General features: G+C 37.9%; 1 protein-coding gene across 11 annotated transcripts in view; it reads right to left on the reverse strand.

Moving 5' to 3' along the window:
- The window catches only part of TTC28 (tetratricopeptide repeat domain 28), a 701,827-nt gene that overhangs the window by 316,602 nt on the left and 369,511 nt on the right, over window positions 1-15,714 (reverse strand). For all 11 annotated transcript variants that reach the window (NM_001393403.1, NM_001145418.2, XM_047441214.1 and 8 more), the window contains 3 exons: window positions 11,881-12,028; window positions 2,965-3,237; window positions 1,583-1,713 (listed from right to left, as the gene is read on the reverse strand). In NM_001393403.1, the coding sequence (NP_001380332.1) occupies window positions 1,583-1,713; window positions 2,965-3,237; window positions 11,881-12,028 (552 nt within the window). The remainder of the gene's footprint in view (window positions 1-1,582; window positions 1,714-2,964; window positions 3,238-11,880; window positions 12,029-15,714) is intronic.

Below are 15,714 nucleotides of genomic sequence, written 5' to 3' on the forward strand. Positions count from 1 at the left end.
TGGACTTCAGTGGCGCAATCTCAGCTCATTGCAACCTCCACTTCCCGGGTTGAAGCAATTCTCCTGCCTCAGCCTCCCAAGTAGCTGGGATTACAGGCACCCGCCACCACACCCAGCTAATTTTTGTATTTTAAGTAGAGACGGGGTTTCACCATGTTGGCCAGGCTGGTCTTCAACTCCTGACCTCATGATCCGCCTGCCTCAGCCTCCCAAAGTGCTGGGATTACAGGCGTGAGCCACCGTGCCTGGCCAGCTCTTGACATATTTATAGCAATCTGTCCCTTCACTAAATGGACCTATCTGGACAACTATGCTGTTTTACTTCTTAAACCTGGCTCTCACTTCTTAATGCCATTAGTATATCTGTCTCTAGGAGTCTGATCTCTCATTTCACTCCCTGAACATCAAGAAATCAGATCATCTGGCTTATAAGAATTGTTTGTAATGTTAGTTATTTGGGCAATAAGAAAAGTGTTCAGGTAACTCTCTAGAGAATAATATTGCCCAAAGTCCATGGCCCTTCAATAGTCTGTTTTGGTGGCTTTCAAAGGCTTTTCTTCCCCAATTCCTTCCTAGTGCCTGACCATGTTCCTGAGACACGTAGTTGCTGGATCATTTAAACAATATAATTAATCTTTATAAGGTCCCATAGTAGAATTCTTAGATGTAAACATGACTAAACATATTTCTCAACACATAGATTGATTTATAAACTTTTTGTTGCCTCTGCTATTAACCTTCTCTTCCCTATTAATAATATTATAATAAAAGCTATCATTTATGGAATTCCTTTGTGGAATGCCATTATGGAAATCCTGGCACCATGCCGGGCACTTTACATATATTATTTATAATCCTACCACAACTGTGTTTGGAATAAATAGAATAATCATTTCCTGAATAAGAAAATGGAGGAGAAAAAGAAGAGTTAAGTTATAACTACCCCCAAGATCCCACAGCCAGGAAGTACTGCAGCTGGGATTTAAATCTGGGCCTATCTGACACCAAACCTCACCTTCTTTCCACTCTGCAGACAGTCTCTAATCATGTTACATCTACTGAATATTAACTCTTTGAACATATTATAGTTCATCTCTTTAATAAGACTATGATGATATTTCTTTACCAGTATGATTCAGATATCTCAATCAAACTCAATATGCTCCTGAGTTGAAAATCCACCAAAGCAACAATGTAAAGAGTCTGCGGTAATAATATCTGATCTAAAAAAACCAATGTTTGCTTTTTACAATTTAATGAGTATGGCATAATGACATAGCTTTTTTCTAATTTTACATAAACTTATGCACATTTGAAGATAATAAGAACAATGCATCTGACAAAGCTGTTAGATCGTGAGGTCAAGAACAAGTCTTCTCTATTTCTATATATCCAAGGACTATGCTTGGATATATAGAACACTCAATTGTTGATGAAAAACAGAATCAGTAAGTCTCAAGTAATACTTTCTTCTGAAAGTAATATTTTAAGATACCTGAAACAGTTTGTTTTTAACAGAAAATAGAGCTCCACATTTCCAAAAGAAAAAAAAATGTTTTTGGTCTGCAGATAAACTTCCTACCTCTCGATCTTTGAGTTTCATGGCGAGTACCAACTGATGCCTGTGGTTAGTGAGAGCCTCCCGGTAATTTCCTTTGGAGAAGAATGCAGAGCCCAGATTCCCATGAGCTCGGCATTCTCCTGTCTGGTCACCTGGATTGAATTGAGAAAAAAAAAAAGAAAAAATTTCTCTAAGTTATAATGTTATTTATAACATATAATGGTCATCTTAATTTAAGAGCCACAGATTTATTAGCTAAGATTTCACTTATCTTCTATTAGAAAAGTATTTGTTTCTTCCACAAGACCCTATGTGGGGAGTTACTGCCCTAGAATTTAAATCTCTGGATAACAACTGCTTTTATTGTCATAACATACAACTGCAGACAGGGACTTAGGTGTCTTAGAAACAAAAGGTTAAAGACCTTAACACAAACTAGCTGCTGTTTGAGTCCTCATTGCCCTGCTAATGACCTTTGATTCTAAACAACCATCAGCTTGTTGGTTCAGTCATTTGACTCCAAATCTACAAAAAAATATCTTTACAAGTATGCTGGTGGTAGATGCACCTTATCCCTTCTCTTACTCCAATCCTGTAAGTCCTTGAATAATCACCATAATGACCATCATAATCATAAGCCATACTTATTTTACAAATGAAAAAAGTGGGTCACAGAGAGGTTAAGAAACTTGCCCCAAGTCACACAGCTAGTAAGTGGCAGAGCCAGGATTCTAAACCCAGTAGTCAGGCTCCACAGTATACACTCTTAACCTCTATACTATACTAATCTCCTTCAACAAAATGATAACGCATCCTAATGAAGGAAAAAATTAAAACTAAGATGAAAGATTGACCCAACAATGTTATCATTTGACATATTTTGTAAGCCCAAATCCCTGAAGAGGGCAATGAGTATGTTATTCCACATCTCTTGGCCTTTTGGGAGTGCTGGCACCTTGTTATATGAGAAAGCTGTAAAGACCTGAATAGTCTAAAACAGAGAATGTTCTAGAGGCACTCGCTTTTTTTTTCTTTGTTTTATTTTTTGTTTAAGAGACAGGGTTTTGCTCTGTTGCCCAGGCTGGAGTGCAGTAGCATCATCATAGCTAAGTGTAACTTTGAATGCCTGGGCTCAGGCAATCCTCCCACCTTGGCCTCCGGAGTAGCTAAGACACAGGTACACCACACCCAGCTATTTTTTTTTTTTTTTAAGAAACAGGGTCTCACTATTTTGCCCAGGGTGGTCTCAAATTCCTGGCCTTAAGCAATCCTCCCAAAGCACTGGGATTACAGGTGTGAGCAACCAGGCGATCACTTTTCATTGCATATTATTCTCATTCATGTCATGTTACTCAGCTTTCTTTGTTCCCTTTCTGCACTGAAATAGAGAAGCATCACTCTACCTAAGGTCTTGGCTACATCCAAGTCCTGCTGCATATATCCGGTGCTCTTCTCTGTATTTCCAAGAGACCAGTAAGCACTGCTCAGGGCAGAGAAAACAGAACCTCTCAGTTTGAGGCTGCAGGTGCCAATCTTCAGTGCGGCTTCTAAGACAACCACAGAGGCCCCATGATGGCCAGCTGTCAGGAGTTCCTGCCCAACCACAGACACGACCACAAAGGGACTCTTGTCCAGTTTCATTTTCTGAAGCTGCTGATAAGTGGGCTCGAGGGAGTCTGAAAATAAACAACAATAACAGCAACATAACAGGAGAATGTAGGATGATACAAAAACAATCTTTTCTAATACGCTCTAGAAATAAATGTTTATCATATCTTTTGTGGCTTATTTCAAGTATAAACTCTTCAACCTTTATTCTAGCACCACTTATCTCATATGACTAGCATCACAAACCCCAGTCCAGTAATTTCCTTCTCCTCACTCTTGCATGTATATGTCTTATCCTTTCTTTTGGCCATTGTGATCATCATGTACCACTTTCCCTGAATAGTTCCCTCTCCTCTGTCCTGTTCCCCTCTCAAAATATTACAGGCACATCCCTCAAGTCCTACTTGTACTGGGAATATCCCCAGGTCCTCCTCTGGCATACATTAATCTGTGTATCCAAACTTGTGCTGCATTTTAATGGTATTGCACAGTTTGGTCATTAACTATTTTAGAATTGTTCTACACGTATTAATTTTTTAAATATTTTTCCAGCTAAATCTAAAGACTGCTATAGGACTACTGTAACACCATAGCAAGTGGCACAATGTGGGTACTCAGAAAACGCATCATGAACACAGGTGAAAGTCCCTAACATGTCTGGCATTTGATAAGAGGTTTGTTTGTGACAGGTCTTGCTCCGTCACCCAGGCTGGAGTGCAGTGGCATAATCGTGGCTCACTGCAGGCTCAACCTTCTAGACTCAAGTAAATCCTTCCACCTCAGCCTCCCAAGTAGCTAGGACCACAGGCACACACCATCGTCTGTGGCTAATTTTCAAAAAATTTTTGTAGAGATGAGGTCTCATTAGGTTGCTCAGGCTGTTGTCAAACTCCTCGGCTCAAGTGATCCTCCCACCTCGACCTCCCAAAGTGCTGAGATTACCAGTGTGAGTTACCACGCCCAGGCTGATAAACTTGAATCTGAACGACAGATTAATAAACCCTGTCCATATTTTTTCCTAGAAGATGCTATAAAAGCTCTCCCAACAAAACCCTTGTCATTCTCACTGGTAACCCAGTATCCACTGCTGCTTCGGAAACCAGTAGCCCCCGACTAGAAGAATATTATGCATTTTTCTTGTGGTCATAAATGAAACCATAAAGAAATCATCTGAATTTATTTATTAAGATGGAAGATAAAATTAATGTTGGTCTCATTTTATTTTCATATGGTATTAAAAGAACATAGGGGTCAGTAAGCCACAGGAGATTTTTTTCCCATTTGAAGCTAAGTTTGAACGTAGATAACCTCCAAGCTCCTTCTCCCAATTCTTTTTTTCTTTAAAGACAAGTGCAGAGTTATTAATGATAGCCCTACAATGAGATGGCACTTAAAAAGCACTTATTATTAGCTTTCCTGAAAAACTATTTCACATTAGTTATTCCACTATGCACATGTAAAAAAAAAAAACTATAAAAGGGGTGGTCTCTTTAAATCTTGAGTCTCCTAGCCAACAGCACTGCATTAAAATGTAATTTTTACAATTTATGACTTTGAATCTAAAGTCTCCACTAAAAAGCTCTTGTCTGAGTCAACAATGCCACAGAAATCTTGAAACCTGGAAACCTGTGGGTGCCTAAAGCATTTTTTTCCTTCAATCAGATCACTAACAGAGAACAAAGAACATTTTTACACCTGTCAAGATTCAAGCCGTGCAGAGTGCTGGTAAACACTAGCTAACCAATGGGGTTAAGTACAGGCACAAGAACCCAGGAATTGCTAGAATACAAAAGCACAATACCATAATGAAATACTGTGAGCAGAATTTTGGTGGTGCCGTCCGCTGATGAGTTTGGTAGTCAATGTTGATCACATCAGCATCCCACTGGCCAATTAGCAGAAACAAAAATAATAGAATTTTAGAGTTGAAAAGACTTTTAAAATATGCTCTCTTAGAAATGAAGAATCTGAGTATTTAAGTGACTTATCCCAAGTTGGAAAGCTTGGGACATAACCAAGATAAGAACACACTGCAGGGCTCTAAGCCCAGGTTCTATGACATCACACCAGGCAAGATTCTTAGTTGCTAGCAACATACACCAATCTTGGCTGCTTGTAAACAGAAAAGAAACACATTGAGTGACTACTGGGAAAGGTGGAAAACCAGGCGTCCAAACCCTCAGTCAAAATCATACCACAAACGCTGCCTGGTGAAGGCAGCATAACCATTGCAACCAAACACAGGACACCACAGTTTACAATGCTCCTCCCCACACCAACTCACTGAATGCCACCCTTGGAAAATCAGTGTCACCACTGCCACCTCCACCACCAGAACAAATTCTGTGCTATCCTTTCTTCTTTGAACCTTTAGCTTCTGATTCAAGGATGGGGTCCCAGCTGCTAGGGAAAATGGGAAAATTAGGATCTGATGCTTTCAGCTTTTATTATAGATGGCAGAAGCAGAAATGTATGAGGAAGAATGCCCTAAACTGACAGCCCAAACTGACTGATAGCTAGCAAAGACACCATGCTTTACTTGGTGATATCTTTTCCTATAGCAACCACAGCTAAGTTAGAGAAATAATCATCTAATTGAGCCTCTAAAATTCTACAACAATGGTAGAAAGAAGAGTGAACATTGCCACAGAAATACGTGGAAGATTCCCAAAAGAGAAAGAAATCTTTAACTGTACAAATTTTCACTAGATGAAAATGAAACTGATGAAAGAGAAGTAAAAGATAAAATTTCCCTTCTCGGTATATAGGAAATACACTTCAAAAGATAAATTATAATGCAAAGATCAATGCAAGGATAATATACAAAACATGCTATAAGAGTTTGGAAAAGGGAGGGATTATCAAGGGCAACTGGAAAGCTTCATGGAAGAAGAAATTGATCTCTTGAAAAAAGAGTAGGGCTTAGACAAGTCTTTGCTATTTTCTGAGAGTAGAAGGCATTTTATGCAGAAGATTTGTCCTAACAGAAGTGCCAGAGAAGACAGATACATGAAATGACAGGGATTGCTGAATAGGCCAGCTTGAACTGACCAAAGAATACTTGTAGGGAAGGAAGTTGATGTGAAATAATGGGGAAAACACTGAGCTAAATACATACAGACACCTGTATTTAAAAGTCACATAGCCTCAGTCTCTCACTTGGTCAAACGCGTAGGTTGAAACTGGTGATTGTTACACAAATCTATTCATGTATATATGTATGTCAATGTGTACAGATACATACACACAAAAGTCCATTTCACTGTATATAAATTTAAAAATTTTTTACTATCAAATTTCTCCGCTTGGGTTGTAATTATGTCTCACTGGTCCACACCCATAATCAAAAGCTCTAGATATACAAGTGGTAAGATAAGTTTTCTAAATGTATAGGTGATCACTACAATTATTTTCAACTCTATTATTCTAACTCCGATTTTAGAGTAAACTTGGGCTATTAGCAAAGGGACTAATTTTGTGATTTTATCAGGCTAGGTGAAACAGAGTTTTGGCAGCCTATAGCTATTAAGATGCTTTTCTTTCTAGAGTCTATGGATAATACATGAAATAGGCAATGTCAAACCAACTCCATAAGAACATAAAGCCCTTTGCAACATCAGTTCATCAACCATTAAGTGTTTTTGAAATGTAAAGGCTTTAAAAATTTAAGATGAACAAAATCATATTTCCTAACACTTGAAGAGCTTGTAGGAATGTAGCAGAGGCTAATAATAAGCAAAATCACACTCAACTAAGAGATATACTGTATTTCATCAGTTCAGAGATGCACATTTATTCACATATTAACAATCTCTGAATTTGGGATTTAATACCTCTGAAATCAACAGTGCTATGAAATGGTGTGTCACTTTTATATCTAAAGGGGCCTAAAAGAGCTCTTTCGGAAAACATAAAATAAAAATATGTGTCATCATAATAGTCGGTAGTTTTTTTCTTTCTTTGTAATACATAAAATAATGAGGCCAGGCATGGTGGCTCACACCTGTAATCCCAGCACTTTGGGAGCCAAGGCCAATGGCCCAGGAGTTCAAGACCAGCCTGGGCAACATGGTGAAACCTCATGTCTATAAAAAATACAAAAATTAGCTGGGTGTAGTGGTACAGACCTACAGTCCCAGCTACTCAGGAGGCTGAGGTGGAAGGATCACCTGAGCCCGGGAAGGTCGAGGCTGCAGTGAGCCATGACCATGCCACTATACTCCAGCTTAGGTGGCAGAGTGAGATCCTGTCTCAAAATAATAATAATAATAATAATAATAATATAACTTTTAATCCAGAGTTCTTAGAAGTGGTAAAATGTGCTATGGGACCCCAAAAGAGAAAGTTGTTATTAACTCTGTCAGGGTAGGTCTGGGAAGGCTTCCCAGAGGAAGTGGTACCTGAATAGAAATCAGAGACGGAGAAACCATAGTGTTTTCTAGGAACTGCAGATAGTTTTAGTTGAGAATATCTGGAGATAAGAAGGAAAGAGAGGCAAGGTCTTTTCTAAGGCTTGAGAGAAACTTCTCCAGTGAGTGCTCATAAAGAGGACCTTAGGTACTACGTAGTGTTCCTTCCACATCCACACCACTACGCCTGCCCTAAACATAAGAGCAATTAGTACTGCTGCTGCTTCCACTCCTCGGTGAGAAGAATGGCATCACACTGCAGAGGAAAAGGCATCCTACAGAGGCCTGCCTTTAGATGCTAGTTCTTGACTTTCAAAACAACATTAGGAGATGGATATTATAATTTCTCTCTACGGATACAGACTGAAGTACAGAGAAAGGAAGCAACCTTGCTCAGCCAATGGACTAGCAAATGGCAGTGCTGGAATTAGATTCCAATCTTTTGGGGGAAGAAGCCTATGTTTTTGTTTTTTGGTTTTTGTTTTTTGTTTTTTTAAGACGGAGTCTCACTCTGTCTGTCACCCGGGCTGGTGTGCAGGGACACGATCTCAGCTCGCTGCAACCTCCGCCTCCCGGGTTCAAGCGATTCTCCTGCCTCAGCCTCCTGAGTAGCTAGGATTACAGGTGCCCGAGCCTATGTTTTTAACATAACATTTCAGAAGGAAGCCTCCTGTGAAAAGTGACTCCCACCTAAAAGAGAATCAGAGGGAATGAGCCCACTTAGGGTAGACAATTAGACAAATAAAAGGTGAGCCCCAACTTGACCCTGCAAGAAAAGCTTATACATTTAACAGGCATTTTCCATCAGCACTTCATAAAATCAGCTTCCCTGGGTCCCCAGGAGCTGGTGGAAACAACACAACAGGTGATAGACCATAAATGTAATAGTTTTTAGATTGCCAAATTAACAGGAAGAGAGACAATATACACAAAAGGTCCTCAGCAAGAAGCGGCCCTAGCATCTTTAGAGGAACAAATAAAGGTAAACTCAATCTCACTTGGTAATTACATTAATAAATCCATGGTTGGCAGTAATAGTATGCTACAACACCCAAATTTGCTTAAATGTTTGTAAGATACAATAAACTGAAATTGCTGAAAGATTATCTTAAAAAAGAAATAGAATATGGCAAAAGGATTACTTGAGAAATCACATAAAAGAAAGTATCAATTTGTATTTATTTTATATTTTCATTAATGATTTAAGAGAAATACATCATATAAAATAATATAAGTATATCCACAGGAGAAAAGGTTTAGCTGATATCTGATTTGTGTGCATGAGTGAAACTAAAAAAATAAAGTAAAACAGATTTAATCAGTTAGAAATACAGCCAACAATAATAAAAAATCAAATGAGCATCAATGTGGACAAATATAACGTATTTATATGGGAGAAAGGGTATATTAATTTAGGTTGTCCCTGCCTTAAAAGAAATAAAATCTTAACACTTCCACAAAGACCAAACCACAGGAACACTGTGCAGGTTATGAGAGTTTTGTCTGCTTATACAAGCACCAGGACCAGTTTTCTCTGCTGCATTCAAGGATTACAAAACAGGCTGGTCTGAGTGCAATAGTAGTTACAACTAACTGATCACAACCAGTTACAGATTTATCCTTCTCCACTCTCACTGCTTCATTTGACTAGCCTTTAAAATACAAAAAAAAAAAAAAAAATACAAAAACAACTGACATAACAGATCAGACGTATATGTAAAGTGACCCAAACTGCACAGCTCTGCAGCAATGACAAAACTTAGGAAGCTGCACGAGGCTAAAATAAACAATGGCTAAAAAAGTGGGCAGCAGCCGGGCGCGGTGGCTCACGCCTGTAATCCCAGCACTTTGGGAGGCCAAGGTGGGAGGATCACGAGGTCAGGAGATCGAGACCATCCTGGCTAACACGATGAAACCCCGTCTCTACTAAAAATAGAAAAAATTAGCCAGACGTGGTGGCGGGCGCCTGTAGTCCCAGCTACTCAGGAGGCTGAGGCAGGAGAATGGCGTGAACCCGGGAGGCGGAGCTTGCAGTGAGCCGAGATGGCGCCACTGCACTCCAGCCTGGGCGACAGAGCGAGACTCCATCTCAAAAAAAAAAAAAAGTAGGCAGCAAATGATGAGAAATTTTGTCAATTACAACCATATGACAAAAAGAGAGGTCATTAAGATGTGGGATGATGCACAGAACAATACTGTGCAATGTAACATACTCCATAAATTGTTGGTAAGAAAAGCCCACCTGGAATAGATACAGTGGTAAAGACAATGCTGAAAATAAATCAGATAAATTAAATTGCCTTAAGGGAAGAGAAGAAGATATTGAAGCACTCCAGGAACCAGTAAGAAGCTGCTTTCTCCAGGTTCAGCCTTAGGTCACTTACATAAGATGGGAAAGAACCTGGTAGAGAAAACCCTAAGGGCGACAGCAGCTCTGAGCTATTTCCAGCAGCGCAGGGAAGATTTCCCTACATTTATCTAAATAGATCGCTTCAAAGGCAAAATGGTAAGTATGATTCTACTGATCTCAACACATTCACTCCAATATTCTAAGGCAGCAGCAGAAGCACCTCAGAATAAAGAGGTAGTATCTTCATGAACTAAATAAAAAATGTTCCATGTAAATTCCCTGTGGAGGGGTGTAGGGAGAGAACAAGAAAAAACTAGAAAATGGAAAGGAGAGATAGGATGATTTTTTTCTTATTGTCCATTCTGCCCTGCTCCCTAAGCCCTGGAGCTCCAAAATGCATCTGCTGTAAGTCAGAGTTTGTTTATTTATTATTTATTTATTTATTTATTTATTTATTTATTTTGAGACGGAGTCTCACTCTGTCACCCAGGCTGGAGTGCAGTGGTGCGATCTCGGCTCACTGCGACCTCCCCGCCTCCCAGGTTCAAGCGATTCTCCTGCCCCAGCCTCCTGAGTGGCTGGGACTACAGGCGCGCACTACCACACCCAGCTAATTTTTTGTTATTTTTAGTAGAGCCAGGGTTTCACCGTGTTGGTCAGGTTGGTCTCAAAATCCTGACCTCGTGATCTGCCCACCTCGGCCTCCCAAAGTGCTGGGATTACAGGCATAAGCCAACACACCTGGCCAGTCAGAGTTTATTAACAGCAGGTCCCCAGGAGGTTTCAGCCTGTGGCAAAACCTCAGCTTTGTAGAGTTTATAAAATCGCATGACACTTTCTTCCTAAAATATGAAATCCCTGAATTTCAGGAAAATATTTTTTATAGCTATGAATTACCCAGAGACCAAATGAGTACTGTTTAGTTTATCAAACTTTTATTTGGCACATACTTTGAGCCAAGTATAATACTAGCCACTATATTAAAAATATCTAAGGCTGCGAACATTTTCAAAACTAGATAAAATGTTGAATGATGCTGCCATCAAAAATTTTAGGTTCATTTTTCCATATGAAAAATTCAAAAACATACCACTTCAGACTGAAAAACAGTTCTGCTTGACATACCCTGATTAAAATGAATCATTATTAGCTGTCGACTGTCTACCATAAATCTGCCTCGGTGTCTCCATCACTCCCCAAAGATAGCAATTGCTATACATACTTTTAGTCAAATCTTCCCAAGAATTCATTCCTCAAAAATCAACATTCCTCAAAATGAAGCCAATCTGTTTTGGGCCTCAGAACTCCTCCAACCTCTACAGTACCATTTTCAATCCATTCTTTTGTTTGTTCCAGAATACCAACCAGCGTAAAGTAGAAGTAAGAACAGGCAGAAAATATGTAAACTGGTATCTGTCTTGTTTTTTTCTTTTTTTATTTCAACATAATCTTTTAATGCTCCTCTGAAAAATTTGAGACACAGCCTACAATTAGATATGTATTTCTTTTATGAAATATAAGAATGTCAAATGTCTTATTTGAGTATTTCTAGAAGGCATATATTGGTCCATCTGAGATTCAATTTCCTACTAAAAGTGCTGTGGTTTAGAATTACAGAATTTCAGACTACAGAAAAACTATAAGGGTTTTTAAATAATCCCGAAAGCCAAAGAAGTTGATCCATTTACCCACTGTCATACAGTTAGTTAATGAAAAATTTAAGAATGTAATATAGGTCCACAAACTTCTAGGTGAGTGGCCCTTCTACCATACTATTCTGCCTCATTAACATCACTTGCTGGCAGTGATTCTTGATCTTCCTTGGTCTAAAATATCAAATCTTAGCAAATTTGATAACCTATCAATTCTCTGTGCCTGAGCCTAAAGTCTTGGAAGGCTAGAAATGATCTTCTTTAAATTAATGTTATACCAAGTACTTTTATCATATTTACCTCTCATGGGAGATTTCATGGCGGCTTCCACCATCCCCACCAGAAGCTGGAGACTCTTGGGGTCTTGAGCCAGTCCAGATGCAAAGGCTGCCAGGGCATCGGCATGACGTCCAAGGTACTGGAGGGCAACACCCTGTCGGAAGTATGCCTAGAAATAAAAGATATATAAGATATATAATGCCTGTGCTCCAACAAGGCTGATGGTGATTCTTTACTAGAACAACAGGTCAGCAGAACTAAGATTGAGATGTACTTGATTTAAAAACCTAGTGAACAGTTGGTAATGAAATGAACTAACTTCTAACATCATAAGCATACTTTTATCAGGCAACTTCTATTTAAAATTTTCATCTTTTCACTTCTAAGACACATCAATTTTATCACATTCTTTGGTATTTATTCACACGTTACTTTTATTGTTTTTGAAGTATTTTAAAAATATTTCTTATCCCACCTTTAATGCCATAAGCTCCTCAGGAAAGGGACTTGAAGATCTCTTTATATCTCACCTAAGTATCTAGTACAGTGCAAAAATAAATGAGATGAATTCTACTTATTTTCTATTTCCCCCTCTTAAATAATTACAAAGGAACAAATGAGTGTGTGATTACTTTTAAGATAATTTTAATAATGAGTGACACAACATGGCTACTTACTTTTAATATGTTGTTTCACACATAATATTTAAAAGCAATTACCTATATGTGTGCTTTGCTTAGAAACCAAAAAAGGTTATTATCCTTTGTATTCTTTAAGTGAATTATTTTAAAAACTAGTATTATCAATTGTGATTATAGGAAAACATTCCTCCTTCTAACTAACTGCAGAAAAGACCAGAGAATTAGTAAGATATTTAAATATTTAAATTTTAGAATTTTAGAATAGTTTTAAGAAACTACCATTTGTTTTCTTTTCTCTTTCTCGTTCTTTTAATAGACAGAGGGTCTCACTCTTTCAACCAGGCTTGAGTGCAGTGGCGCAATCCTAGCTCACTGCAGCCTTGAACTCCTGGGCTCAAGCGATCCTCCCACCTCAGCCTCCCAAAGTGCTGAGATTACATGCATAAGCCACTGCACCCAGCCTGCAGTTTGTTTTCAACTACACAGAGTAAAACCAAGCAGGTGACAAAGTGTTACTTGTATACAACCAGCAAATTAGGTGTTTACCTAATTAAATAATACATACAAATAACATATAATTAACATATTCATTGCTTATATGACAACATCTGCTTCTAAAATACTTGGTCTCCTATTCAACTGAAATATTCTTACAATTCTGTTTATAACACAAACTTATTTTTCTTCAACCCAATATACTTAGAAATTGTCACAAATTGTATTCATGGGATCTAAATGAAGTTTCAAACTCTTAAAACTACCACTCAATAAAAAATATATAATTTAAAAATTTTATATTACAAATGCATATACACAGAGAGTGAGAAAGCACCTTTCGTGTTTACAAGATATATTTACTTATCTTACTTTTATAATGACTATTTGAGGTAATTTAAGAGAGGCAACACCATTCAGTGTTTCTATTAAAAAACAATCCATAAACAGAATGAATACTCAAATTATTACAGACTACTGAGGCTTCTATTAAAGTACCAGTAGCTGTTAAAACTCAGACCCCAGTAAGATAATAACCTGTAAATGCACTTTCATTACTAATTCATAGGATCACTTCCCTTCACTGGACTCAGCCACTGTTTAAATCTTTAATGTGTTTACAAAGATTTTTCATTACCTTTTTCATTTCACTTTTTAGGTAGTTTCTATATTGCAAGAGGCAACAGTATATTCCAACTAAAAATAACTATAGTTTACATAAGTACAGAAATGCTATATTAAAACTAAACTAAAAATATACATATTTATGTTTTTATATACAAATATGCCAAATAACTGTAAACTTATTAAGAGACACAAAAAATGTCTTAGTTACTGATTTCACATATTATAAGAAAAAATCTTAACTTAGTATCAATGAATTCTGATAACTTCTTACATATTTGAAGCAAAACATTACTTACTTGAGAGGGCAACTGATTTTCCTGTCTGCCAAATAAAAGCACTGAAAAGTATGATTTACCTACTGCTAGGGAGGTAGGTAAAGTTCAGTGTTAAATGCAAGCTTTGGTCTCATGTTCACACAGGAGCTCAAGGAGAAGGTGCATGTTTTGTTTTCTTAGAACGCTTACAAATTAGATAAGAAAAGGTAAGACTGGACCATGCCTCCCACAATCTTGGTTTCCTTTCTTCAAGAAAAGATTTTAAAAAGTGGTATAGGAGAGAAGGTTCAAAGGTCATCTTTGGTCTTCCCTTATGCCCTTCCAGAGTCCCTAATCCAACTTTATAAGATTTACCTGTTAAAAGCTTAGGATTGTATCCCTGTAAAGATAGCATAATGAGTACAGCTCTGACAACTCCCTGTTCCAAACTCAAAGAGTGGGGCTCTCCCAACATTTATCCATGCAATATTCATTGCATGTACAAATGGCTGTTGAATAAAAATGAGTTCTTTATACTTTTGTGAGAGAGATGTCACTATGGAGTTCAAGCTGATGATAAAACCTAGATTGTAAGTTATTGAAATAGAATAAAGAGAATCCAGTACAGTACTTGGCAAAGAGTTAAGCACCCAACGAAATTAGCTATTTTTGTTATTAGCTAATGGGAAAAGAATCTTAATAAGAACACATAATTATAGACTAACAGAATACAAGAGAGTCCAATAAATATTTTAAATATTTTAGCATTCAATATAATATTATTCAATTTCTATCACTGTCTCATTCATTCTTTCTCTTGTTCCATAAAAGACTATGAGCAATCAAGAAACTATATAATTGAGAATTCTCATTGCTGTAAGGCTCCCAGACAAAATGTAAGCCACCTGACTAAAATAAATTGGTATTACCAAGTTCTGAGCGAGATAACAGCCACCCATAGGCTTGCCAGCCTTCTCCAAAGGAAAGGTCAGGATATGTTGAGATTCACAGCTGTTTATCCAAGCTTCAGGAAAATTGATGTGACCTGCCAATAGCCTATCTGCTTCTCCTTCTATGGGTTCCAGCTACTAATGTTTATCTTATTATCACAGGTCTCACAGAAAGCCACTTCATCTGGGAGAGGTACAAACTTATATATACGGACGCAGTATATGTGCAGCATGCCAAAGATGGGTGTCTCTAGGGCAATGTTGAATACTTGGTGCCCAGTCAACATCAGATCACATACACACTTACTTCATGAACTTACCAAACATACACCACATACTGGTCATTGGTTTGGCAGCAGATGGAGAAGAAAGGGCAACATGGACTAACTGTTGAGAACACCTATACCCTAAGTACAATGATTTTAGGCTGAAGCTTTAGCCAAGAAGAAGAGAAATGTACAGGGAGCTAGTTAATACACTGGACTAAAGTGGGATGCCTAGATTTTCAAGTCTTCCATTCATTTATTTTCTTGTTGGTCACCACAAATACACCACAGTGATTATTCCATGCATACTACTAGATGACTTCACAAATCATATAAAGATAACTGGATTACAAGAATAAGTTTCCATTACTTCTTTCTCACAATTAACATTCCCTAAAAATCAACAGTGCCAGGCACTGTGACACATAACACACACACACACACACACACACACACACACACACACAAAAAACAAGACAAGAGCACCCTCAAGGTGCTCACAGTCAAGAGGGAAAAAATATAAAAAGCTCTAAGTGTCTTGACTGCTGGCTGCAGTAAATGATAACTAAAAGTAACTAATGCTGTAAAATTTCAGAGGTAACAAAAATGTAATTAATGACCA

This window comes from Homo sapiens, chromosome 22 (genome assembly GCF_000001405.40).
Source record: "Homo sapiens chromosome 22, GRCh38.p14 Primary Assembly".
Taxonomy (NCBI): Eukaryota; Metazoa; Chordata; class Mammalia; order Primates; family Hominidae; genus Homo; species Homo sapiens.